Source organism: Homo sapiens, chromosome 21 (assembly GCF_000001405.40).
Source record: "Homo sapiens chromosome 21, GRCh38.p14 Primary Assembly".
NCBI classification, from domain to species: Eukaryota; Metazoa; Chordata; class Mammalia; order Primates; family Hominidae; genus Homo; species Homo sapiens.
In genome coordinates, this window is record NC_000021.9 from 37,169,304 (window position 1) to 37,196,792 (window position 27,489).

General features: G+C 39.7%; 1 protein-coding gene and 1 long non-coding RNA gene across 11 annotated transcripts in view, besides 2 other annotated features; one reads left to right on the forward strand and one right to left on the reverse strand.

The window, feature by feature from the left end:
- TTC3 (tetratricopeptide repeat domain 3) overlaps window positions 1-27,489 on the forward strand; it is a 129,865-nt gene that overhangs the window by 96,050 nt on the left and 6,326 nt on the right. For all 10 annotated transcript variants that reach the window (NM_001320703.2, NM_001353936.2, NM_001320704.2 and 7 more), the window contains 8 exons: window positions 3,292-3,441; window positions 13,471-13,610; window positions 16,403-16,471; window positions 17,746-17,842; window positions 19,192-19,292; window positions 22,031-22,121; window positions 22,809-22,910; window positions 26,372-26,733. In NM_001320703.2, coding sequence (NP_001307632.1) covers window positions 3,292-3,441; window positions 13,471-13,610; window positions 16,403-16,471; window positions 17,746-17,842; window positions 19,192-19,292; window positions 22,031-22,121; window positions 22,809-22,910; window positions 26,372-26,733 — 1,112 coding nt within the window. The remainder of the gene's footprint in view (window positions 1-3,291; window positions 3,442-13,470; window positions 13,611-16,402; window positions 16,472-17,745; window positions 17,843-19,191; window positions 19,293-22,030; window positions 22,122-22,808; window positions 22,911-26,371; window positions 26,734-27,489) is intronic.
- TTC3-AS1 (TTC3 antisense RNA 1) lies at window positions 18,309-24,623 on the reverse strand. Its single transcript, NR_046651.1, has 2 exons — window positions 24,505-24,623; window positions 18,309-19,340 (listed from the first exon to the last, which is right to left on the reverse strand). It is a non-coding gene; the product is annotated as a TTC3 antisense RNA 1 (long non-coding RNA).
- Window positions 26,130-27,329: an enhancer, noted in NCBI's record as "CDK7 strongly-dependent group 2 enhancer chr21:38567734-38568933 (GRCh37/hg19 assembly coordinates)". NCBI's record gives its function as "activates an origin of replication core promoter dependent on BRD2, BRD4, P300/CBP, MED14 and CDK7 cofactors, with strong dependence on CDK7, by STARR-seq in HCT116 cells {active_cell/tissue: HCT116}" and the evidence as "EXISTENCE:reporter gene assay evidence [ECO:0000049][PMID:35650434]".
- Window positions 26,425-26,719: a silencer, noted in NCBI's record as "tiled region #9191; K562 Repressive non-DNase unmatched - State 14:Gen5'". NCBI's record gives its function as "represses a minimal TATA promoter and a strong SV40 promoter by Sharpr-MPRA in K562 cells {active_cell/tissue: K562}" and the evidence as "EXISTENCE:reporter gene assay evidence [ECO:0000049][PMID:27701403]".

Below are 27,489 nucleotides of genomic sequence, written 5' to 3' on the forward strand. Positions count from 1 at the left end.
ATAAATCTATCTATATTACCACATACATAGACCATTAATATGAGAGTGCCTGGCCAACATGTTGAAACCCCGTCTCTACTAAAAATACAAAAATTAGCCAGGTGTGGTAGCTTACCTGTAATCCCAGCTACTTGGGAGGCTGAGGTAGGAGAATTGCTTGAACCTGGGAGGCGGAGGTTGCAGTGAGCCAAGATCACGCCAGTGTACTCCAGCCTGGGCGACAGAGTGAGACTCCATCTCAGTCAGTCAATCAAGATGGTAGATTGGCTGGGTGTGGTGGCTCATGCCTGTAATCCCAGCACTTTGGGAGGCTGAGGTGGGTGGATCACGAGGTTAGGAGTTTGAGACCAGCTGGCCAACATAGTAAACCCCATCTCTACTAAAATTAAAAAAAATTAGCTGGCCGTGGTGGTGGACACCTGTAACCCCAGCTACTTGGGAGGCTGAGGCAGGAGAATCGCTTGAACCCAGGAGGCACAGGTTGCAGTGAGCCAAGATTGCGCCACTGCACTCTAGCCCGGGCGACAGTGCGAGACTCTGTCTCAAAAAAAAAAAAACAAAAAACAAAACCGAAGATGGCAAATTATCAGTGAGCAAAAACTGGATTATTAAATACATAGGAGAAATGGATTGCCATCTAGAAAAAATCAATCTTGGTCCCTACCTCATTCCTTATACCAAAATAAGTTCCAGGCAGATTAAAGATTTTAGCATAAAAAATGGACCTATAAAAGTATCCAGGAAAAAAACGGGAAAAATTTTTTGTAAGATCAGTAAACAGCATGGGAAAAAAGAATGTTTATATTCATATACACATGCATGTAATGTGTATATCCTATATGCATAGCATATGTATGACAACAAATACATACACATACACATATCAAAACACAGGAGAGAAACAAGGAAAATTATGTGCAGTGTGAAACAGATAGAGAACTAATTTCCTTAACAACAAAGTTTCTATAAATCAGTAAGGAAAAGATCAACAATCTGTCACAAAGATGAGAATGGATGTGAATAGACAATTCACAATGAAAGAAATACAGATGATTTTTAAACATATAAACAGATGCCCACCCCACTTGAAATAGGAAAAGCAATCATTCACATTTTGAAAGATAGTGAAACTGAAATTTCTGGGAAGGCAGTTAGGAATCGATCTGCACTCATATATGTATAGAGAGACCAGTGAGCCAAGGGGATTTGTATGTTTGTTTTGTCTGTATTTGAATCAGCAGAAAATTGAATACAATCTAAACCTCCATCAATAGCGGACTAGTTAAATTATGATATACCTATAAAATGAAATATCATGCTGTCATTTAAAAAGCAGTTCTATAGTTAGATATGGAATGTTTGACAAGATCAATGTCTAGTTAAGTAGGAAGAAGGTCAGAGCTTGTGTTTCCTGCTGCTATTTGTACAAATAGTGTTTAGTTTTTGCTAATGATAAAATAATATATAGAGTTCTTAAATTTTTTAAATGAATAATACCAAAAATTATGAAAGAGAAATTGAAAATCATCTACCTTCCCATCACTCATGTTAATATTTTGATGTGTAGCCTTCCAGGATGTTTGAACATTTACATATAATTAAACAATAGTTTTTAAAAGATGGGATCACAGCATATATATTTTATTTGAAATTTGCAGGCTTCAATTAATATATTGTAGACTTGTTTCCATATCAGTAAATACGATTTATAGCATCATTTTAAATGGATACTTGGTTTTCCATTTTATTAATGTGTGATCATTTATTTGACCAATTTCTTGTTGTTGAACATTTAGATTGTATCAGCTTTTTATGCTTACAGGCAGTCTTATAGTGAACATTTTGGCCTGTTTACTGTTGTTGAAGTCTTATGCTGTGCTTAGCTTTAAACCAGGTAGGCTCTGTTGTTTAATGAGTCAGTGCTTTTGACCATCAAATGAATGTTTTTATCAGTGATGGGAATGTTCACAAATGCTTTCTTAAATTAGCTGTTAGTTTTAGGACCTTGATGCTAGTATAGGTGATTGCTGGCTTCTCAACCAGTGAGAATTGCATTTGAATCCCAGCATTGCTACTTTCTCCTGGGACTTTGAGAAGTTGCATCACTTGGTTCTCTGATCTATTAAAGGCAAACATAATGTATTTCTCACAGAAGTATCGTGAAGTTTAAATGTAATAACATAGAGGTGGCATTTAGCTTCCTGCCTGTCTCTGTTGGTAATTTGGGGCATGTAAATTCATTCACGACAGCAAGTTACTATTCACTGTGATCCTTTTGCTGAATTAAGAATTAAAATGGAGGTAACTAAAGTCTTAAACCATAAAGTTTTGCTCCTGGTTGATAGTAAGGTTGACTGTTTAATTAATTTAGTTAAGCATGGACTCTATTTATAGTACTAAACTTTCGGTCTGAGCAGACAAAGTGGCATGCTCCAAGGCAAAAGGGCATGTATGGTCAATCTGACCATAATTCACAGTTCTCCAACTGATCATTCACAGAGTTTCAAATACTTGATTCCCTGCTTTTTTACACTTGAAAGATACTAAGGTATTGGGGGAAGGTACAGGAAATGTCAGAGCTGGACCAGGTTTGTGCCTGGGATAGATTTCTAAAGCCTGGCTGCCACAGGGAGGACAGTTACCTGCAGCTGGAGAAGCTGCCAGCATCAAACAGATGCTCTTTCAGAGTTATATGCAGTTTGAAAGGTTTTAAAAAATAATTACATAAATGACATTTATTGTTTGCCAACAGAATGGTTTCTGGGTTTGGGGTTTTTTTTGTTGTTGTTAAGCTGGTGCAAGAAATATAACTGACAATAATTCATAGATAATATTTTAATTTGTCATTTTGAAATAACCAGCAACTATTTATTTGAAACACCTAAAAGTAAAGCCAAAGTTAAAATGTTCTGTTTATATCTAAAATATGTATAATATGTGCAGCTTTTTAAACCTAATAAATAATCGTTGGTGTTAATTGTGGAGAGTGACATTTAAATCAAACTGTTGATCTGGTATTGAACCCTTCTAAAGCAAATATTCAGAACTAATTATAGTATAGATTGGAGAATTTATGAATTTCAATAATATGAATGATTATATTTATAAAAGTGCTGGTTTTGCTAAGCAGTGTTTAGGGGTTTTTAATTCCTGAATGATTGTGACATTTCCCTTGTAAATTTTCATCTGCTTTTTACTCTCCTTTGTTTATTTTAAGAAACAGTAAAGAACAAGATCATAAGTAGGCATTTTAAATGATTTTTAATAGATTGTTTTGTAATTCACTTTTAGGGGGAAATTTCACGGATTGAAAAGGAGCACCAAGTATTACAAGACCAACTTCAAGAAGTGTATGAAAATTATGAGCAGATAAAACTTAAGGGCTTAGAAGAGACCAGGGACCTGGAAGAGAAGTTGAAAAGGCACTTAGAAGAAAACAAGGTAATCCTGTCTGAAACCTGTCTTTAATTGCATGTAGCATAGTTAGGAGAATGTGAGTGTAGCTGTGCTTGTGCGGCCTCAGCTGAACTTCTGCATTGGTGGCTAAACAAAAGATTCTTTCTCAGAATCGCCTGCTTCAGATTTCTTCATGACATATTAAAGTGGCTGTTGCCATGCTTTAGAACTTCTGCAAACTGCCTTATGAGAAAGGGGCTGTAAGTCTGGGTTTTCGTTTAGCTATAGTTCAGTTTCCCTGGTTAACTAAAACTCTATTTTATGGTGACTGAGCTCTGAGGTAAATTCTTGTTTATATTGAGAGGCAGCATAGGAATAGAGGTTCAGAATGAGAGCCCTGGAGACAGACTGGCTGGGTTCAGATCTAGGCATGGTTCTATACTAGTTCTAATCTTGGGCAATTTACTTAACTTCTCTGTGCTTTAGTTCCTTACCTGGAAAATGTGAGTAATAATAACTCACATTTTGTATGGTTAGATTAATACTTATAAAGTACTTAAAACTGCCTCGTTAGTAAGGACTCAGTAAGTATTGTCTGCTACTGTTATGATCATCATCTTCATCTTACTCCTAAGGAAGTATAAGAATAACACATGGAGCCTTAGACATACTAGAACTGTAAAGTCACCCAGAGTATTTTGTTGAGATCTGCTGACCTTGAATTCTGTTAGTCAAGACTGATCATCAGATACATGGCTAGTGGAGGGATAGCAATTAGTGGCAAAGCCAGATTGAATTAGTGAGAAAATGGAATCACAGATGTGAGGAAATCATGGTGCATTTGTTTTTAAAAGCTACCATCATCTGTTTAGAAAGGTAACAAAAGAATAGTAATTCATTTAAGAAAGGAGGAATTTGTTCCAGAAGTCTGGATCAATAGCTGGGATAACATATTAAATAGAAGAAAACTAGCTTAGTGGGACCTTAATCAGGAAACCTATTTACTAAGATTTTAGTAGAAATCTTAGGGTCAGTTTGTAAAGGTAACTGTCATAACATTCCCCAGGACCTGTTTATACTCAAGATGAGGCTGGGGAGAGTCTAAGGACAAGAAGAATTAGATAGATCCTGAGACTTTACTCAGTTTCCTGGCTGGGAGAAGTAAAGAAGAACAAAATCCTACACAGCATAGTGACACATGGAACACAAGTTTCTATAAGCTACTTGTGGGTTTAACAAAACAAAATAGTTTTATAAACTTTATATTGCCTCAGGAAACTTCAGTTTTAATTCCCATGTGGGAATTCCTGTAGCTGCCTGTTTGAGTGATGAGGCAGATTGGAGACATAGTCTTAAAGGTAGCATTCAGCCGGTGAGATATCTTTCTTTCTGGCCGAGGCTTTCCTGGCTTTATAAATTGCTGGTCTGACTGTGTGTTCTGTGTGCACAGTTCATCAAGGCTCTTTCTTTGTACAGTCAGTCCAGAAGAGTCTCGGAAATAAAGCACCCAGTGGGAGGGCCCCAGCTCTCAGGCTTTTTTTTAACTTGTTAAGGCTTTGAGTCTGCTGTTGCGTGGCCCTACTCAAGAGTGCCTTAAAAGGGCAATTACTAAGCCCCCCAGATCACAGGCCTGATAAGTTATTAGACTTGCCACGTAAAATGTATACCTATTCCCTACCAGGATAAGTCGCTAATCTGAGTTCCTTGGGTTGGTGTCCACATAAGAGTAGATGAGATTTAGCCACAGTCATTTCTTTATTAATGGTGGTTACGCTCATAGCTCATGGAGAAATTTCTTAAAACATAGAAAGAAATGAGTGGCTTTTCCTGATATGTCCCTTTGGCCTTTGACTGCAGATTGCTGAGGTTATGAGCTAACCAACTTTTCCTTTATACTCCAGTTACTTGATGCCATGTTTGGATGTAGCAAATGCATACCCAGCCCCTTATAGAGAACAGAAAAACAGGGAAGCTATAGAAATCTGAGTGCATTAGAGTCCCACTGCCCATACCACACCCTAGCACCTCCATGTAGTAGCTTTGTGATGTTAGACAATTTCTTCAGCCTCTTTGACCCTCGGTCTTCTCATTAATAATGTATTGTCTACTTCACAGCTTTGTGAGGCCTCACCTGGGGTGGTTGAAAAAGGACAGGGGCTAGCCAGAGATAGTAAGTACAGTACTCAAGGAGGAACTGTCCCACCCAAAATTCTGCTTGTGCCTCTGCTAAGCAAATTGTTTTTTTACAAACCACTTTAAGAATACTTAGCATATGGCCAGGCGCGGTGGCTCACACCTGTAATCCCAGCACTTTGGGAGGCCAAGGTGGGTGGATCACGAGGTCAGGAGGTTGAGACCATCCTGGCTAACACGGTGAAACCCCGTCTCTACTAAAAATACAAAAAAAAAAAAAAATTAGCCAGGTATGGTGGTGGGTGTCTGTAGTCCCAGCTACTCAGGAGGCTGAGGCAGGAGAATGGCATGAACCCGGGAGGCGGAGCTTGCACCGAGCCGAGATCACGCCACTGCACTCCCGCCTGGACAACAGAGCGAGACTGTGTCTCAAAAAAAAAAAAAAAAAAAAAAAGGAATGCTTAGCATATACAGGCCGGGCACGGTGGCTTACACCTGTAATCCTTGTAATCCCAGCACTTTGGGAGGCCAAGGTGGGTATATCACCTGAGGTCAGGAGTTGGAGACCAGCCTGGTCAACATGGTGAAACCCCATCTCTACCAAAATTACAAAAATTAGCCTGATGTGGTGGTGGGCGCCTGTAATCCCAGCTACTCGGGAGGCTGAGGTGGGAGAATCAGTTGAACCCAGGAGGCAGAGGTTGCAGTGAGCCAAGATCGCACCATTGCACTCCAGTCTGGGCGACAAGAGCTAGACTCCATCTCAAAAAAAAAAAAAAAAAAAAGAATGCTTAGCATATACTAAGCATCAGTAAAAATCTGAGCGAGGTATTATATATAGCTGATGGGGTTCTATTATTATTCATGAGCTAAGAATGGCCTCTTTAGGCAATTAGGCCAGTTATCTATTCTCTGCCGGCGGAAAAGTGGCTTTTTAAATTTTTTTTTTTATTTTTTAGATGGAGTCTTGCTCTGTCGCCCAGGCTGGAGTGCAGTGGCATGATCTTGGCTCACTGCAGCCTCTGCCTCCCGGGTTCCAGCATTCTCCTGCCTCAGCCTCCTGGGTAGCTGGGATTACAGGCTGCACGCCACCAAGCCTGGCTAATTTTTGTATTTTTAGTAGAGATGGGGTGTCGCCATGTTGGCCAGGCTAGTCTTGAACTTCTGACCTCCTGTGATCCTCCCACCTCGGCTTCCCAAAGTGCTGGGAAGGCACCGTGCCTGGCCAAAAGGCACGTGAGGCACCGTGCCTGGCCAAAAGTAGCTTTTTTAAAGCCAGAATCTCTTGTTGTTTTTATTGTACCCTAACCTATGACTGGCAGGTTATAACTGGTTGCAATATTGCTGAAGGACATAGGTTCATTTTTGTTTGAGAATAAAATTCTCATAACATAAAATTTGCTGTTTTAACCATTACAAAGTATACAATTTAGTGGTTTTTTGAATATTCACATTATTGTGTAACCATTACCACTGTCTAATTCCAGAAAACTTTTATCACCCCAAAAAAGAAACCCCATATTTATTAATCAGTCACTCCCTATCTGCCCAGGACATATGGTCTTAAGGTGCTTTAATGAGATGCTAAAATGGGCATTGAGTCAACATTAGGTCTTAAAACACTGTCAAATTATTTGGCCCAGAATAATTTACAGGGTAGAATTTTGGACCTTTGTCTGTATTAGAACAGAATCTTGGCCCTGCCTGCCAAAACTTCCTCAGCCCACACTGGTGCAGAGGTGGGATTCTCCTCTTCAGTCATGGGTCCTTGTCAAGTTCAGCCTTTTTTAAATCTATCATTTATGAAGCTCCTACTATGTGCCACACTCAATTGTTTTTACATGTATTTAATCTCAAAACAGTCCTTATACAATAGTGTTATACTGTAGTACATAAATAAATCTCCATGTTACTGGTGAGGAAATGGAGGTGGGAGCAGCTGATGCAGCTTTCCCCAAGCCACACCAGTACGAAGTGGCAGAACAGGTTGTGTCAGGCTTCAGAGCCCATGCATTTGTTCTCCCTTAAGAGAAGGTCAGCTCCACGGCCTAGTTCAACTAACTGTTAGGAATGTTTCTCACCACTTTACAGCAGTGTAGGCATATCAGTTAATCACTGTCATAATAATGCTGAGTGACTCCCAGCCACAAAACCCCAGTGACACATGACTGTAATCGCTAAGCGTAGAAGTCTGGATCAGCTGGTCCTGCTTGGGCTCGGCTGGGTCAGTTCACCTTAGGGCTAGCAAGAGCTCTGCAGCATCTTTGCTGTTCTTGCCTACATATCTGGGTTCAGCTGGCTGTAGATTGATCTAGAATGGCCTCAGCTGGGATGACTGGGACAACTAGCTCTGCTCCACATGTCTTGCATCTTCCACCCTGAAAATCCTATTCTGAAGGCAGTAGGAAGGTGCAAAGGCAAGCAAAGATGGCCACACGGCACCTTTCAAGCTTCTACTGACTTCAGGTCTGCTCAGACCCCACCGGCAAAAGCAGTCACATAGCCAGCCAGAGCCCGGGCTGGGGAAGATAGACTTTGCCTCCTTAGCGAAGGGAACTGCAAGGTCACATGATAAATGGAATGGCTAGAGTGTGAAGGATGGAGCTATGAATGCCATCCCTCCACTACAGTAGGTCAGCGCCAGTAATTTACTAACACTCAGTAATTACCAAGAGCCTTCTGTGATTGGTGCCTGCTTCATCTTCCGCCTTCTCCCTTGCCAGTTCTCTACATTGTTCTCTAATTTAATGGATAATGTTTGTCATTCGATTTCTCACTTCCAAACCTTTTCCCAGTACCATCCCTTCTGCCTGGAGTGGTTTTCCTTCTCCCTGAGCCTGACTCCCTCCTGCTTCTCCTTTGGGCATCACTTTCTTGAGGAAACAGTTGTTGATGGCAACCTCAGGCTTGCTTACAGGCCTTTGTTAATGCAGTGGTGGTAATAATGACTATGTGAGATGGTAATTATCATTTTATAACATCTTTATTGAGATATAATTAACCATAGCATAACATTTACCTATTAAAAATAGACAACTTAATGGTTTTGATATATGCCCAGGTCTGTGTGTAGCACAATCTAAGTTTCAACCATTTTCATCAACCTAAAAAGAAATCTTATACTCACTAGCTGTCACTCCCCATTCTCTCCTGTATCCCAGCCCTTGGCAACCACTGATTTACTCTCTAGATTTATCTATTCTGGGCATTTTGTATAAATGGATCATGTTACATGTAGTCTTTTATAAGTGTCTTCTTTCACCTATAGTGTTTTCAAGGTTCATCCATGTACATCCATCTATGTTAATATGTATCAGTGTGTCATTCCTTTTTACTGTGGAATAATATTCTATTGTATGACTATATCACATTTTATTCATTCACTAGTTGATTGACATTTGCGTTCTTTCCACTTTTTCACTATTCTGAATAATGCTGCTGTGAACATTCATGGACAGGTTTTTCTTTGGACATATGTTTTCATTTCTTTTGGATATATATGTAGGAGTGAAATTGCTGATCATATGGCAATTCCACATTTAAGCGTATGAGGAACTGCGAGCCTGTTCCAAAACCATCCTACCAGCAGTATATAAGGATTCCAGTTTCTCCATTCTCACTTACACTTATCATCGTTTGTCTTTTTATTTAGGCCTCCTAATGGGTATGGAGTGGTATCTCATTGTGGTTTTGATTTTTATTTCCCTAAAGGCTAATGATGTTGAGCATCTTTTCATATGCTTATTAGCCATTTGTATATCTTCTTTGGAGGAATGTCTACTCAGATCCTTTATTCATTTTTGAATTGAGTTTGTCTTTCTATTATTGACTTATAAGAGTTTTTGGGCCAGGTGCGGTGGCTTACACCTATAAAACCAGCACTTTGAGAGACCAAGGCAGAAAGATCGCTTGAGCCCAGGAGTTTGAAACCAGCCTGGGCAACATGGCAAAATCCCATCTCTACAAAAAGTTAAAAAATTAACCAGGCATGATAGTACGCACCTGTGGTCCCAGCTACTTGGGAGGCTGAGCTGAGAGGGTCACTTGAGCCCAGGGGTTTTGAGGCTACAGTGAGCCAGGATCATGCCATTGCACCCCAGCCTGGGCAACAACAGAGTGAGACCCTGTCTCAAAAGGAAAAAAAAGAAACAAAACAGGGCTGGGCATGATGGCTCACACCTATAATCCCAGCACTTTGGGAGGCTAAGGCAGGAGGATTGCTTGAGCCCAGTAGTTCAAGACCAGCCAGGGCGATGTGATGAGACCCTCACTCGCTACAAAAAAATTAAAAAATTAAATAAATAATTAGGTAGGTATGGGGATACATGCCTGTAGTTCCAGCTACTCAGGAGGCTGAGGTGGGAGGATCACTTGAGACCAGGAAGTTGAGGCTGCAATGAGCCATGATCTTGCCACTGCACTACAGTTTGGGCAACAGAGCAAGACCCTGTCTCAAAAAAACAAAAACAGAGAGTTTTTCTATATTCTGGATACAAGTTGCTTATCAAATATTTGATTTGCACATATTTACTTCCATCTTCCATATTTGTAAATGTATCTCCTGTCTCCATTTTGTGGGTTGCCTTTTCACTTTCCTAATGGTATCATTTGCAGCACAAAAGTTTTTACTTTGAGTACACTAAGTCCAATTTCTCTTATTCTTTTGTTACTTGTGCCTTTGGTGTCATAGCTAAGAAACCCGTCTACTTCAAGCGCACTGCTTACCCATTTAGGTCTGTGATCCATTTCACATTAATTTTTCAAATAGTATGGTATAGTAATTATCTTTTATGCATATTTTCTCTACCAAACTGTGATCTTGAAAGTAAGGACTGTTTTTCATTTTGTTTGTTTTTTGAATGGGGGTCTCATTGTATTGCCAAGGTAGAACTCCTGGGCTCAAGGGATCCTCCTGCCTCAGACTCCTGAGTAGACAAGACTACAAACACATGCCACCAGCCCCAGAAGGGTGGTTTTTAAAATTATCTTTGGTTGACAGCACCTAGCTTAGTATACAAACTAGGAGCTTTGCAAATGTTTATCAAACAGTGTGTGCTTGGCCCCTGAAAAGCTGCATTTAATGAATTGTGTTTTCATGTTCTCTATCAGCCTACATCAGAGGACATCAGGCTCACATTCTGTGAAGTTTGCTGCTTTGTTTACTGCTAGTATGGAGTTGGGGATATTATCCATTCTTTCATGTGACAGATATTTCTTGAATGTTCTCTTAAGTGTCAGGCTCTGTGCTGGTCTTGTGGGGCGTTTCTGCAGCATCCTCTTCTTGAGGCCCTTCTGTCTGCCATCACTTCCAGGGCCTCTCTTGTGCAACTGGTTTGTTTTTATGTTTTATATTGAATTGTACAGTTCATTATATTTTCTCTTTGACCTTGTCTGCCAGAAAGTTTTCATGTTATTTCTAAAGAATGGTTAGGACTGCATGCCATTCATTTTTATATTACTCTCACTCATGGTTTTGTATTGTCATTCCTCTCTCTCTATTCTGTTTTCTTTATCTGCTTAGCATTCTTTTTATTTTGTCTTTTAAATATTTATGTATATATTATCTTTTTTTTTACACCATGGAATACTATGCAGCCATAAAAAATGATGAGTTCATGTCCTTTGTAGGGACATGGATGAAACTGGAAATCATCATTCTCAGTAAACTATCGCAAGAACAAAAAACCAAACACTGCATATTCTCACTCATAGGTGGGAATTGAACAATGAGATCACATGGACACAGGAAGGGGAATATCACACTCTGGGGACTGTTGTGGGGTGGGGGGAGGGGGGAGGGATAGCATTGGGAGATATACCTAATGCTAGATGACGAGTTAGTGGGTGCAGTGCACCAGCATGGCACATGTATACATATGTAACTAACCTGCACAATGTGCACATGTACCCTAAAACTTAAAGTATAATAAAAAAAAATGGCTTTATAAGGAGAAAAAAAAAAGAATGTTTTAATTTCAGTAAGAATGAAACAATAAAACTTTAGAAAATGTAAAAAAAAAAAAATTAAATATTTATGTATATATTATCAAAGGTACCTCAAATATTTATTTTAGAACAACACTGAGGTTTAATAAAAAAGATAAGTTTTTTCCTAATTGAGAAAAAGAAATTGTTTATAGTTATGTCAATAAACTGTAATATAGCAGATACAGTTGTGTATAGCCTATTTGTTTTATGCTAAGTTTGAAAGAAAAACGTTCAGGAGATCATTCTGTCTTCCATGCAGTCAGAAACAAGCTCGTGATAGCTGACCTGTTTAGCATTGTGAGGCAGCTATGGCATTCAGCAGTGGTTAGTACAAACAGAAGATGAACTCATGTGGTATTTTCGTTGCCTGAGCTATATGTGTATGTATGTGCACATATGTTTATAATACTTTGTGCTTCTTGATACTTGAACTCCCTTAGGTACTTGTTGCCAACTAGGTTCTTATGCCTCAGCATAACCTTGTGGTTGCACATAATCTCCCAGCCAAAGGGATGGATCCCAGGTGAGATCATTGGCTCAGAATAGGAGCACAGGATAGGTGAGAAACAAGATTGGCTTGGCTGCCAGCAGCAAGGCATACAAATTCACATTGGTCCTGGTAGAACCGAACCAGGTGGAACACAGGATTCTTAAGTAGAGTAGGCATGGTGGTCACCTCAGTCACAGTAATGACTCAAGAAATTCAGGATCAACAAGGTTGCAGCTAAGAAGATGTGGGAAGAACTGGTTCCTATGTTAAAGGGAACATTACTGAGCTGTTGTTCAATTTTTGCCACCTAAGAACAGTTGTCCTGTGCCAAAATCAACCTTATCCCTGCTGTAGGATTCAGAAATCTTAAAGGACCTTGACTGGTTAGCAAATCTGCCTTTAAAAAACATGAAAACCTTGGTGTCTAAGGCTGAAGAGGGAGTAGTGGTCTCTTAAGTTGATAGAGCTTTTGACCTGAGGGCCATGATTTCCTATGGAATCCATGTAGGTTGACTTTAGTGTCCTTTCTTACAGAGAAGACCTCGAGTTTCTATAGCTGAAATGACCTACGTGTGCTCTAAGCCTAAGCAGGAAGTTCAGGCTGTAGGGAACCTGATAGGAAGTAAAAAATTAAAAGTTTCCCTAAAGCAAATGTGAAGTTAGGATTTCATTAAGCCGTCATTGATAATAGTGAGATTTTAAACTAGAAAATATTTGTTTCCTTTAAATATTGCTTTGATTCACGTTTAAATTAATTATTAGAAATATTAACATAGGGAATGTTTTACTTATAAGTGACTGGTATTTATAAGCATGTGCCCCACCCAAACCCCTTGCTACAATTAAATAGATGATACTTCAAAAAAGACATCAAACCTTTAGAGAATGTGTAGATTCAGAAGTTTCAAACCAGCAACTACATAGGAAGTTGACAAAGAGGGTTAGGTGTCAAGTGGTGCTGTACCAAACCCTCCAGGGGAACGGTAACTAGCATTGTCTCCAAAGAGGTTTTCATTTCTCTTTGTCACACTGCCTGAAATTCTGGCAGGTATCTCAACCCAAATGCCTTTAATGACCAGCAAGAGGATTACATTTATATTTATAAAAGCAAACAAAAACTATTGGCCTTGCCAACTAAAACATGCATACACTCCCTGTAGATTAGAGAATCATTTAGGCTGGAGAGTAAGTGTGAACACTTCTGGGCACGTCGGAGTGGTTCTTCGGGGTGTCTTACTGTAATCAGGTACACGTAGCGGGTAGGATGTGGCTGTCTGGTGTGACTTGGTGTCCCAGGCTTGGCTGGGGGGCATAGTCTGCCACAGGGCGCCAGCTTGGGAGTGTGTTCCACTGAACTTAGGTCATTGTTTAAGCTATGGCACCGTCACAATTCTAGCCTTTCAGTCTCTTTTGTTAAAAAGTATATTTTGCCATTTATTTAAGTACTTTCTAAATGTTTTTAGATCTCAAAGACGGAATTAGATTGGTTCCTTCAAGATTTGGAAAGAGAAATTAAAAAATGGCAACAGGAAAAAAAAGAAATCCAAGAAAGACTAAAATCACTGAAGAAGAAAATTAAAAAGGTTTCAAATGCCAGTGAAATGTAAGTAATGATTGAAAGGCAGTAATTTTTATTTAAAAAAAAATATTGTGGCTTTTGGTTATTTTCACATTTTTGATATTTAATATTAAACTACATCAAGTAAAGTAAAAATGAATACTGTTTTCATTGTTTTGTCTCATTTAAAAAAGTATTCATTGAGTAATTATCTCACCTGAATTTTTTTCTAAACTTAACATTTTTTCAGATAAATTATATAAAAGTGAGAGTAGCATGGAACTGAGAATCCCCAAGGAACTGACTTCCTTCCAGTTTGAACACCATCCCTTTCTCTGGCCCTCTTTTTTCTTATCAGCAAAACATGGGGGCTGGTCTAAAATCTAAGGTTCTTTTCAAAAGTAAGATTCTGTGATGATTATTTATAATTACTTTTATCCTGAATCTATAAATTATTAAAATTTGTCTTGTAGTGTGAACGATTTGATAACATATACAGATCCTAGGAATGATTGTCAGGTGGGCCAAGAGTGTGTTTTAAGATTCTCTGTGATCCATCCCTAACCTCCCTCTGCTCTTAACAGTGATAGGTCAAATTCTTCAGCTTGTTTTCTACCACTGTGTAAGAAAACACCCAAAAGTCAGTTTCTTTATTAGCAGCCATTGTATTTGCTCATGGTCCTGCAATCTGGGCTGAGTTCAGCTGGGCCATTCTTCTGCTGGTCTTGCCAGGAGTCCTCATGTGGCTGAATTTAGCTGGGTGATGACTGGGGGTGGCCTCAGCTGGGATGCTGGGGTGGCTTGGCCTCACTTTCTCTCTGTGTAGCCTCTCTGTGATTTTTATTTATGTGGTCCTTCCATATGATCTCTATTATGATAGCCAGACTTCTTACATGGTAGCTAAGGACTTCAAATGGTGCAGAAGTGGAAGCCACTAGGCCTCCTGAAGGTTCAGGCCCAGAACTGTCACAGCATCATCTCTGCTACCTTTTATTCCTTAAAACAAGTCATAGGCTTGGTCCAGATTCAAGGGCATGAATAATGGGAGGCTGGGTTCACTGGGGGGCCACGCTACACACTCACCTTTCAAGGGCTTTTGTGTTTTTCCATGCCGCATGCCATATGATCAGATGACTTTCATTATGAGTCTTGCTAGCATTACATTTAGGCAGTCCTCAAACAATGAGGAAAAGTAAAACACTGCCTCAGAATTTTCACTCCCTGTGTCATGTCATTTTGATGATCAAAGTAGCTTCACTAGTAGAACACACTTACGGAAACAATAATGTCTGTAAAGCTTTTTACCTCTAATATTTGAGCATGACCAGTCTTGGTCATTTTGTTACTAAAAAGTGTGGAAATATTTATATTTAACATACTTTTTTTGTTCAATTCAGACATACTGTCAAACTAGACAAGGTAACTAGAGGCTGTTAATGATAAGAAATTTTTTTTCTGTACTAGCATAAAAGTTAATTTCTGCTGGAGAATAAACTTTTTATTGTTGACTTTTTTCCATTTTATTATTAGATTTCTTTACCTTTCCTGTCACAATTTAAAGATAAGCCACACGCTTCTCTCTAAGTTTTTTGCTTTTTTTTTTGAGACAGAGTTTTGCTTTTGTCACCCAGCCTGGAGTGCAATGGTGCAATCTCAGCTCACTGCAACCTCTGCCTCCCATGTTCAAGCAATTCTCCTGTCTCAGCCTCCCGAGTAACTGGGATTACAGGTGCCCACCACCACGCCTGACTAATTTTTCTATTTTTTTTTTTTTTTTTTTAGTAGAGATGGGGTTTCACCATGTTGGCCAGGCTGGTCTCGAACTCCTGACCTCAGATGATCCACCCATCTCGGCCTCCCAAAGTGCTGGGATTACAGGCATGAGCCATTGCACCTGGCCTGCTTTTTACATTTTCCAAATAAATGCTTTAAAGCTCAATTTTTCTATTTAGATTTTTAAGTAAAATCTTTAAACTTTTTGGATCTCTTTCTCAGAGATGCACAAGGGACATGAAAAATGATTTCTTGGATGTTTCTGTGCTCTTGATCACACTTAGTATTCGTTAAGAAATGACTAGAACATAGAGCTCATGATTGGTACAGTGACACAAACCACAGATGGCTATGAAAGAAGGCAGGGCTTCCATGAGAGTGTCAGAGTGTCACCCAGTATTTGTCTATTTAGAGGAGGGAGGAAGTGTTTTACAAAAGAAGTAAAATAATAGTTAAACTGGCTTGTATTAGAAACAAGCGGCTTTAGTAAACAGAGATGACTGCAAAGGTATCTCAGGGTAGCATGAAAGAAGAGGCAGAACCCGCCTTGTGCAGGGCATGGCTCAAGAATCGGAGATTCACACACTTGTTTTGAAGGATTATCAGAGAATGTGAGTGTGTGTGTGCGTGCGCACCCGCGTGTGTGCATGAATGCTTGTTTTGACTTTAAGTTCTGTTTTAAAGAGTAGAAGGCTGTTTTCATTTTGAATGAGAATCCACATCTTCTCATTTTGAATAAGAATCTCTGGTTACACTGATGATGATGCCGCAGTACCTGTGTTCTCTGCTTGAGCTGCACATCTTAGACTGAGATAGGGTGATTTACCTGTAAGCATATGACTTAGAGTGAAGAAAAAGGTGATCTGGAAGGAAAATTTCCCAAAAGGGAAATGACCTCAAATTATTTTCCTATTTAGAAGATACTAAAAATGAAACAAAATGTAAAAATATATATATTAAAAAATCAAGAAATGTTTTTAAGGATATGGGTGCAATTTACTGTGTGGGGGTCCTGTTAAAAATTTTTCAAAATTAATTAATATTTGGTGATTATGCTTTTATAGGTATACCCAGAAAAATGATGGAAAGGAAAAGGAACATGAATTACATCTGGATCAGTCCCTTGAAATCAGGCAAATTAAGCTTAAATTTATTTTTAATATATTTTAATACTTTTAATGCCAGGAGTACAAGCACAGTAGACTTTGAAATATATTGTTGCTTGTCTATTTCTTTTAAATAATTATGTTTCTGTTTTCTTTATTTCTATTTCTGTTGCATTTTAAAAATTAATTTATAAATATATTCTTTGAATATTTAAATATTTTTATTTTACAAGATTTCTGCATTTATTTCCCATTGTCAATATAAAAATACTGAATTTATTGTTGTCAACTTTTTTTGGATTAACTTGAAACTATAAACATGTTGTAAAAACTTTTCTTTTGTGTTACTTGGAATATTCGTCTCCACTGTAGGCTGGTAGTTTGTTGCTGTTATTGCTTTATAATTATAGGTTCATTAAATTTTTACTATGAATCTATGCAAAGTTTCCTTTTAACCCTTGCTTGCTAATGGAAATAATATGTTTTCACATACTGCTAACCAGTACATTCAGTGATAAGCAGTTGCATTCTGCTTTTCTCACTATTGTTTCTTACGCACATTCCCATCCCGGTTTTTGAATAATTTTGTACAGATTTCTTTTTCCCTTTGGGTTCTGTCCTTGTAATATGCGTCAAAACAGAGTTTCTGGCTCAAAGGATAGGGAATGTTTTATAAAGCTTACTTTTTAAAATTTTTATTTATTTATTTTTTGAGATAGGGTCTTGCTCTGTCACCCAGGCTGGAATGCAGTAGTGCAGTCATTGCTCACTGCAGACACCATCTCCCAGCTCAAGCAATTCTCTCGCCTCAGCCTCTCGAGTAGCTGGGACTACAGGCACGCACCACCATTGTATTTTTTGTAGATATAGGGTTTTGCCATGCTGTCTAGGCTGGTCTTGAACTTCTGGGCCCAAGCGATCCGCCTGCCTTGGCCTCCCAAAGTACTGGGATTACAGGCCTAAGCCACTGTGCCCGGCCTATACAGTTTATTAATGTCACCAGATTGTACTCCACCTGCCCTCATAAAAATGGTGAACTGGAACAGTACCCTCACCTTGATTCTCAGCATGCCCACCTAATGTGCACTTCCATTTCATATCTGCCTTTGATCACTTATAAAGCACAAAGAGCACACTTGAGCCTGTGTATTGTGTAGTAAAATATGAGATGAGAAACTGCTCTGGAAGATGTAGCTGAGGCTATCGTGGTGTGGTTTCAAAGCTCATCCAGCCTGAAACCTTTGTCATCTCACTGTGAAATTTTGTTCAAGAAAGTTTTTTTTTTCCTTCAATATTTGTAGCAACACACTTACAAATGAGAAAATGAAAATAGAAGAGTATATAAAGAAAGGGAAAGAGGATTATGAAGAGAGTCATCAGAGAGCTGTGGCTGCAGAGGTGAGTCCATGACACTTAGTGACCACTATGGCATTTGTCATTTGTTTTTGTGTTTCTTTAATGACATATGAGGCATAACAGACATTACTGAAAAGTGTGGTGCATAAAGGATATCCTGTAACCCATAATATATCCTCCCTAAAACGACCACTCTTTTTCCTTGCCTATAGCCTTGTAATGTTTTACCGGTATTATGTTGTTACTTAAATGCACTCATAGTGTACACCAAATTTTGTAACCTGCCTTCCTTATTTACCATTATAATTCAGCCATTTCCTATATTATACACTTTGAATACTTTCATCATATTTAATCAAGTGATGTACCATGAAGTAGCCAACCATATTTGCCAATACTTGGAAAGGAACTTGAAAATAATCCACATATTAAGAATACGCTCCTTCTGCCCCTAGAAGAATATATAGCAATGTCAGTACACTGTTTCAGAAACTACTGAGACAAAAATCAAAATTATGACATCTGGCTGTATTTTATTTAGTTCCAGAAACATGATTCTCTATGTTTCTGTAGCTGAGAAACAAATGATATTTATTGGCATATGTGTCTGTGATTATTCTGGTAAAGTAAGAAAAGACTTAGTTTATACAGTCTGCAAACATTAGGCTTTTCAATTAAGAATTGACTATGCACCTGCTTCTAAGGACAGGAAAGGAAAAAGAGCCAAAGTATGAATACTTTTTGGGTCCTACACCAGCATCCGTATTCCTGAGCTTGTTTAATTCACACCACCGTTTGGTAAGCAGGTTTGCCTGGTGGGCCCTGTCAAGTTTACTGACACCTGGATTAAAAGGCTATTTAATGGATCATTTGGACCATGAGGCCATTTTACATTTCCTGCAGTGATTCTCACAAAAATGGCCAGTTGGTTTGTGGGGAAGCCACAGAGAGTCTAAAATCTTAAAAGCATACCCCGAAGCTTTTGATGCCCTTGCCGAGAACAGCTTCTCTGAGGCTTTTCTAAACTTGCAGAGGATGCAGCCTTTATTAAGGGTTATTCTGCTGCAGGACCATAGGTAATGCACACTCGTGTACACATGCAGTTAACCTGGCTCTGTGCTTATATATAGCTTAAGCAGAAAGCCATGTACAGTTATTCATATCTGCAAAAAGGATCATGGAAGGTATGCATTTGTGATGTCATTTTGTTCTGTTTTCAAATCTCAAAGTCTAATTCATGTTCACCTATGATACAATCAAGTTCTGATGATTCTGTCATGCTTCATTTAAGGAGAAATGGGAAAGTGGTTTGAATGTTTAAGTTTTAACCTTTAAAATAGTTTCAGGCTGTCATTTGTAAAATACTCATATGTCTTCTGATCTACTGGCAGGTATCCGTACTTGAAAACTGGAAGGAGAGTGAAGTGTATAAGCTACAGATCATGGAGTCACAAGCAGAAGCCTTTCTGAAGAAGCTGGGGCTGATTAGCCGGTATTGCAGTTTCGTGGGTGTTCTCAGCACGTCATTTAGAAGATAAAGCTAGGACCATTTGAGAAAAACATTATTTTGTATTAGGACCATTTTATTTTTAATAGTTATATAATTGATACATGTTCAATTGTAGAAAAGTTAAGACATACAAACAAAAATGATAAAAATCATTCCTAATTCTAAATGGATAGATAACATTTGTATTTTGGAATAAATTCATGAAGTGTTTGAAAAAATGAAAATTTATGAATTATTTTTACTAAATAGTATATAGGAAATTTATTTTCATATTGGTAATTACATATCTCCAACCTAATTTTGAAAAGTTGGATAGTAATTGAGCATAGAAACATGTCATGATTTACCAAACACTGCTGTGCTGGAACAGTGGAGTTGTTTGTGAATTTGTGTTAATATAAGCCACCCTGCAGTGAGCATCCTTATAGTTAACTTTTTATGCACATTATTAGTCATTTCCATGCAGTAAAATTTGGAATGAAGATCACATTTTCAAGGCTTTTAAAATTTTTTGCCAAGTTGCTTTCCATAGTAGCTATTATTTAACAGTCTGCATGACAGCATGCGAGAATGTTTACAAAGTATATTCACACATGTTAATTTTTTTTCAACTCTCCACATAATCTCTACCTGTTTTTGTTTGTTTTTTTGCGACAGAGTCTCGCTCTGCCACCCAGGCTGGAGTGCAGTGGCCTGATCTTGGCTCACTGCAACCTCTGCCTCCTGGGTTCAAGCGATTCTCTTGCCTCAGCCTCCCGAGTAGCTGGGATTACAGGCGCGTGCCACATGCCCAGCTAATTTTTTGTATTTGTAGTAGATATGGGGTTTCACCATGTTAGCCAGGATGGTCTCTATCTCCTGACCTCGTGATCCACCCACCTCAGCCTCCCAAAGTGCTGGGATTACAGGCATGAGCCACCGTACCTGGCCTTGTTCTTGTTTGTTTGTTTTTGAGATGGAGTCTCGCTCTGTCGCCCATGCTGGAGTGTAGTGGCGTGATCTCGGCTCACTGCAAGCTCTGCCTCCCGAGTTCACGCCATTCTCCTGCCTTAGCCTCCTGAGTAGCTGAGACTACAGGTGCCCGCCACCACTCCCAGCTAACTTTTTGTATTTTTAGTAGAGATGAATTTCACCATATTAGCCAGGGTGGTCTCAATCTCCTCATCTTGTGATCCACCCACCTTGGCCTCCCAAAGTGCTAGGATTACAGGAGTGCCTCCCAAAGTGCTGGGATTACAGGAGTGAGCCACCACGCCGGCCGGCCTTGTTTGTTTTTAAGATAAGGCTTGCTGGGATTCCTAGAGGATCTTCTTCACCCTAGTACTTAGCACTTCTCTATGTGGGATTACTTTTCATTGAGTCCTTTTACCATGTTCTATACACAGATTTTGTGTTTTTAATCCCAGGGTTTTGATCCTTCCTGGTGCTTGCCTTTTGATTCAAATTTCAAACCCTCAGCATTGAACCAGAGATTGTGTGAATCACGGACAGTTTTAGTGTATAGTTCTTTTTCTTTCTTTTTTTTTTTTTTTTTTTTTTTTTTTTTGAGATGGTGTCTTGCTCTGTCGCACAGGCTGGAGTGCAGTGGCGTGATCTCGGCTCACTGCAACCTCCGCCTCCTGGGTTCAAGTGATTCTCCTGCTTCCCGAGTAGCTGGGATTATAGGCTCCCACCACCACGCCAGGCTGATTTTTGTATTTTTAGTAGAGATAGCATTTCACCATGTTGGCCATGCTGGTCTCTAACTCCTGACCTGGTGATCCGCCTGCCTAGGCCTCCCAAAGTGCTGGGATTACAGGTGTGAGCCACCATGCCCGGCCCCTTCTTCATTTTCAAGATTTAATTTTTTTTCATGAGAAAACTTTTCTGATTAAAAGTAAAATGCTGATTTAGAATATAGGACTAGTACAGCTGAGGTTGAGACCAAGTGGTAGTCAACCGCCTGTACTAAGCACCCACCATAGGCTGCATTGTGGCTCATCTGGGAAACAAAGATAATCTCAGACTCATTTCATCTAATAGTATCAACTCTTCCAATAAACGGTAGAGTATACAAAGATTCTTTCTTCAGGATGCCATGCTAACTCTGCCTTCTCCACCAAAGTATAGAAACATAGAAAAGGGGTAAAAAGAATGCTCTGTTTTTTCTTCAATATGTATAATGAGGTCTTACTATACCCACAGATTGGTAGTGTTTTTGATCTTCTCAATTAGGAGTAGTCAATTTATCTGTCACTTTCAATAGACCAGATTCATGAGGTGCTGAGATTCATGAGGTGCTGAGATTATAAATTTATCTTAGGCTCATCCTTTATTTTTATATTAAGGTAATGATTAGGGTTTGATTGGAATCTTTTGAATGTTTCAGACTACCTTTTTAAAAAATCTTTAAATGCAGACGCTGTCTTTAATATTAAACATAAAGATGTCAGATGAAGAACGGTCAAACTTTCAAATTTGGGAAAAGAACTTAAAATTCAGGAGACTTATTTTCTCTCTGCCCTTCGGTTTTAGAGTTTTTGTTATATTAATAATTAAAATTTTCTAAAGTGTCTCTAGTGGCAAGTTTACAAGATAAGCAATTCCTTAAAAATAGTTGGATTTTTGTGTGTATGTGATTATGTTAAATGTCTCTTTTGCTCATGTTTAGATGTTTATTTGACCGTAAGTGCTTTTAATTTTTAAAATTTCTAAAGCAGTTTTATATTATACTTTTTCAGTGATCCTGCAGCATATCCTGACATGGAGTCTGATATACGTTCATGGGAATTGTTTCTTTCTAATGTTACAAAAGAAATTGAGAAAGCAAAGGTAAGTTGTAAACATCTTTTAATCCCATCAAAATCTTTATGATAGTTATAATTCTCGGGAGGCTGGTGTCATATTGAATCTATTTCTTTTTTATCTATTATTATCAATAATTTTTTTTGTTGAAAGTATTATGAGCTTTTCATGGAACTAATGGTTTTGTTTTGTTTTTTTGAGTTGGAGTTTCGCTCTTGTTGCCCAGGCTGGAGTGCAGTGGTGCGATCTTGGCTCACTGCAACCTCCGCCTCCCAGGTTCAAGTGATTCTCCTGCCTCAGCCCCCCAAGTAGCTGGGATCACAGGCATGTGCCACCATGCTCGGCTAATTTTGTTTTTGGTTTTGGTTTTTAGTAGAGATGGGGTCTCTCCATGTTGGTCAGGCTGGTGTCGATCTCCTGACCTCAGGTGATCTGCCCGCTTCGGCCTCCCAAAGTGCTGGGATTGCAGGTGTGAGCCACCGCGCCCAGCCGGAAGTAGTGATATTTTCTTAATTAAATTAACCATCTTGACCTCTGCCTTGATTGGTAAGATTAGAGGAGTTATGTTTGAAAAGGCTTTGGAGCATTCGGTTTAATGAGGTCTTATTTTGAATTTCCTTACCAAGACAGTTATGTTTCATTTATAATGTGTAGGAAGAAACAAAGTATTAATTGACAATTGTGGTTTTCCCACACTTTACTTTCTACTCACAGTCTCAGTTTGAAGAACAAATTAAGGCAATTAAAAATGGTTCTCGGCTCAGTGAACTTTCTAAAGTGCAGATTTCTGAGCTTTCATTTCCTGCCTGTAACACGGTAAGTCTAGCACATCTTTTTTTTTTTTTTAAACCATAATTCATTTGTTAACTGGCCAAAGTAGTTATTTGTTGTTGTTTCCTGGGAGTGAGGATGAGATTGGTTAATAATTGCCTTAATGTTTCATTATTGGTGCTACTGATTAACCTTTTAAGCTTTATAACATTCTTATATAAAATAGATCAGTCTTTCTACATCTGTATGAGGGATGGACTGAGATGAATACACCATTGCTACATTTCTATCACTCTCATGTTCCTTGGCCTGTCTTCTATCTTTGTGTGTGTGTGTGTGTGTGTGTGTGTGTGTGTTGTATATGTATTCCTGACTTTGAACAAATAATCCAGGAGTAGCAGTTGCCTGTTGCGCACTGCTTTTGTGATTCAAGCAGGCCGCTATCACCACCTCAGATTATACTCTTATTCCTAGATATTTGGGACATAAGACCAAAATCTAAAAATTAAGAGGTTTCCTCCTCAAATACAGAATAAAAGCTGCTATGCCTGAGGCATACAGGGCTTTGTTGGTCCGGCACATCATATTTTACTATTTGTTTGAGGTATTTGCCGAATCTTGTTAATAACAGTGAATAATCTTGTCTTTTTATTTTAATATACACAGCACAGTAAAGAAAAGCATTAATTGCATTTTGTGGACTTTACAACATGGCTAAACCCATATTTCTTAGATTTGGACATAGATAGATGCTTAGTAAATACTAAATTGAAATGAATTAGGCCCAGAGGAGATCAGACCATAGGAATTTAAAGTTAGATCTTGAGAGAAAACTTAGGTAAAAAAGAAAAACAAAATTAAAGGAGGACTGTGTGTGAGAGTTGAAAGATATAAGTTCCAGAATGTTGTGGCAGGACAGTGAAATCTTCTGGTTCCTAAAGACGGAGGAGACTCTCTCCCAGCACCTGACTTCCACCCTCCCACTACTGCCAGACCTTTGCCTGGGCTGTTCCTAGCCTGGAGCACTGTCCCCGCTCTGCATCCTGCCTTCCCCTGAAACCCCGTCAGGCGTGCCCTCTTTTGGCCTCCCACTGTGTCCCTTCTCTCATGTGCATTAGATCTCAGCCTGGCCTTGAATGTCTCTTTCTCACCAGTACCTTGCACAGTAAACATTCAAACTTACTGTGAATTCATCTGAAAAAAAAAAAATTAAGTGTGGAAAAAGTGTGACCACCCTGAACTGAGTAAAATATTCTGTTGAGATCCAGTTTTTTCTCTCCATTGAATGTGCAGTTTTAGTTAGAATTACACTAAAGGGCACTTATCATTTATCGTTTTTCCAAGTTCTTGTAACAGATATGTATAGAGAAAACGTTGGCTCTCAATAGGATATTTTACTGTTAGTTTGTAATCCTAGCTTATGTTATTTTATCAATACTCAAAAGGATTTTCATATCCTAAATTCTGGGAACTCTTAGTGTGCCAGGAGCTTGAGTAATAAGTGTGCCTAAAAATTATTTGTATCTCATTTCTCCCTCATTCATTCATTCGGTAATTAGTGGTGATAAAGACTGATGTGGGCTGTGCCCTCAAAGTGCACATGGACTTGGGGAAAGGCAGACTTTAAACCCATTGTTACCTGCAGCAGAGTGAGGTTTCTCATGGCAGAATGCTGGAGCGGCGTGGATCAGGGGCCACTAACCTAATCTAGAGGTGTGGCCTCAGCGGGAGATTCCCAGTTGGAAGTCTCCCAGAGACAGAGATCTGCAATAGGAACTTACCAGACAAAGGAGTGAGAGGGGTGTGTTTGGACGGTTAGAGTTCCAGATGGAACACACAGTGCTCCTGGAGCCTAGAGAGACAGAGAACACACTCCTTTCATACTGTAATAGAAGCCCAGTATGACGCAGGGGCAAAGCCAATGGAGCCTTCTTCTCTAAGCTGTGTTACAGCAGCTTAGACACTTCTAGCTTCATTAGACCAGACAGGATAGGTCTCAAATAAGGGAACAGCAGCAGAACAGGAGTCCCTCCTTCTTCATGGCTTCGCTTTCCGTGGTTTCGGTTATCCGCAGTCAACCGCAGTTAGAAAATACTCAATGGAAAATTCCAGAAATACATAATTCCTAAGTTTTAAATTGCACACTGTTTTGAGTAGCGTGATGAAATCTGTATTCTCACATGGTCACATTGTGACCTCCTCCCTTTGTCCAGTGTTTTCATGCTGTTGCTGCTCCCTGCCCGCGAGCCACTTAGAAGCTGATTTGGTGACCAGATGAACTTCTCGCGTTACCCCAGTGCCTGTGTTCAAGTCACCCCTATTTTACTCCATAATGGCCCCAAAGCATGGGAGTAATGATGCTGGTCAATCAGATATGCCATAGAGAAGCAATATATTGCTTCCTTTAAGTGAAAAGCTGAAAGTTCTCAACCCAATAAGGAAAGAGAAAAGATCGTATCCTGAGGTTGCTAAGATCTATGGTCAGAACAAATCTACCCATGATATTGTGAAGAAGGAAAAAGAAATTCATGTACAGTATATGTAGGGTTCGGTACTCTTTGCGACCTCAGGCATTCACTGGGGGGTCTCAGAATGTATCCCTGAGGATTACGGGAAGCTACTATGCTTTTTGAAGATGAGCTTGCCACTAATGTGGGGGAATGTTGGGGAGGGGCTTGAGTGATTTCCATTTGTTCGATTATCAGTTTATTGCCATCAGCCTGTCCTGGATGGGGCATGGCAGTGGGGGTGGAGGGAAGAGAACAGATGTGAGAGGTGATTGGGGGTACATTTACAGGTGCCATGCTGCTCAGGAGACCAGGCCCCATGTGTCCACGTGGGAGTTGAGGGTGAGTCTTGGGCTTCCGTCCAGGAGTACTAGGGGAAGAGCAGGACTGGGGAGGCTGCCTGAGGCTGGTTTCCAAAACACTGACTTTGAGTTGCCTTGGAATCACCCAAGTGGATTTGCAGATTTGGATCTCAGGAAAATATTCTAGACTGCAAACTTTTAAAAAGATTTGGCCTCAGGCAGCTGCATGGGGAGGAGTGTCAGCACTGCAGGCGTGGACGGAGGCCTGAGAGCTGCCAGGAGAGCTGGCAGGGAAGAGGAGGCGGCCCCCTGGGATGGAGACAGCTCTGGGGAGTGTGGTGGCCATGATGTTCCATCTGTCAGCTACATGGTTTAGCTCAGAAGGGGAAAAGTGTAACCAGGTAGAGGCTGAAGGAGGGCCAGTAGGCAGGCAAAATGGTCTCATCTTACAGAGAAAATAGTGACTTATAGAGATAATTATTTAGAAGTCTGAGCCCTCCTACTCTTGTTCTAATAACTAACAAGTTATTGTCAAGAATTCTTTTAAAACGAAAATATTTAATTCATGGTATTCAGGTTTCCTGTGCACGGAGCCTCTGCGCTGCGTTACTGTATTTATTCATCGGCCTTTGTCCTTGGGCGTTTCATCCTTCAAGGGAAGCCCTAAGTGATCCATGGTGTGGTGTGTTCCTCACAGGTTCATCCCGAGTTACTCCCTGAGTCTTCAGGCGACGATGGCCAAGGGCTTGTGACTTCTGCAAGCGACGTGACTGGAAACCACGCAGCACTTCACAGGGATCCTAGTGTGTTCTCTGCTGGTGATTCCCCAGGGGAGGCTCCTTCTGCGCTGTTGCCAGGGCCACCCCCTGGTCAGCCTGAAGCCACTCAGCTGACAGGGCCAAAACGGGCTGGCCAGGCAGCTCTGTCAGAACGAAGCCCTGTGGCTGATCGGAAGCAGCCTGTTCCTCCAGGACGTGCTGCGCGTTCAAGCCAGTCTCCAAAAAAGCCGTTCAATAGTATTATTGAGCACCTGTCAGTGGTATTCCCATGTTACAACAGGTATGAACAGAAAATGTCTGTGACTGTGTTTAATACTTTATCGAACTGAGGTTTCCTGATTAGATAAAATCATGGCTAGTTAGGTGTTAACATGAAAAGGGTTGCATAATTGTTTTGCTCAGAAAGACAGTTGCTACATTTCTTTCTTTTTGTAAATATAGAGATAAGTATTTTCAAATAAATTGGTGGGTTTTTTCTTTCTTTTTTTTTTTTTTTTTGAGACAGAGTCTCACTCTGTTGCCTAGGCTGGAGTGCTGTGGCACAGTCTCGGCTCCCTGCAACCTCTCCCTCCCGAGTTCAAGCGATTCTCCTGCCTCAGCCTCCTGAGAAGCTGGGATTATAGGCATGCATGACTAAGCCTGGCTAATTTTTGTATTTTTAGTACAGGTGGGGTTTCACCATGTTGGCCAGGCTGGTCTCGAACTTCTGACCTCAAGTGATTCACCCGCCTTGGCCTCCCAAAGTGCTGGGGTTACAGGCATGAGACGCCACACCCAGCCTCAAATAAATTTTTTAATGTGCATATGTAAATTGAAAACATTGAGCACTGGGTAATATTCATCAGAACCCATGACAATTTGCTAAGATTTTGATGAGACCAATAGCACTGTCTAAAACTAGTGTTATAGTATCAATAAATGAACGCAAAACAATAATTTTGCATCATTTGGGGGGACAAAATTATATATAGCAAAGAAGGCAGCAGCAACTTAAACCTTGTTATATAAGACCTCTGATTTGTTAGAGTGTGAGGTT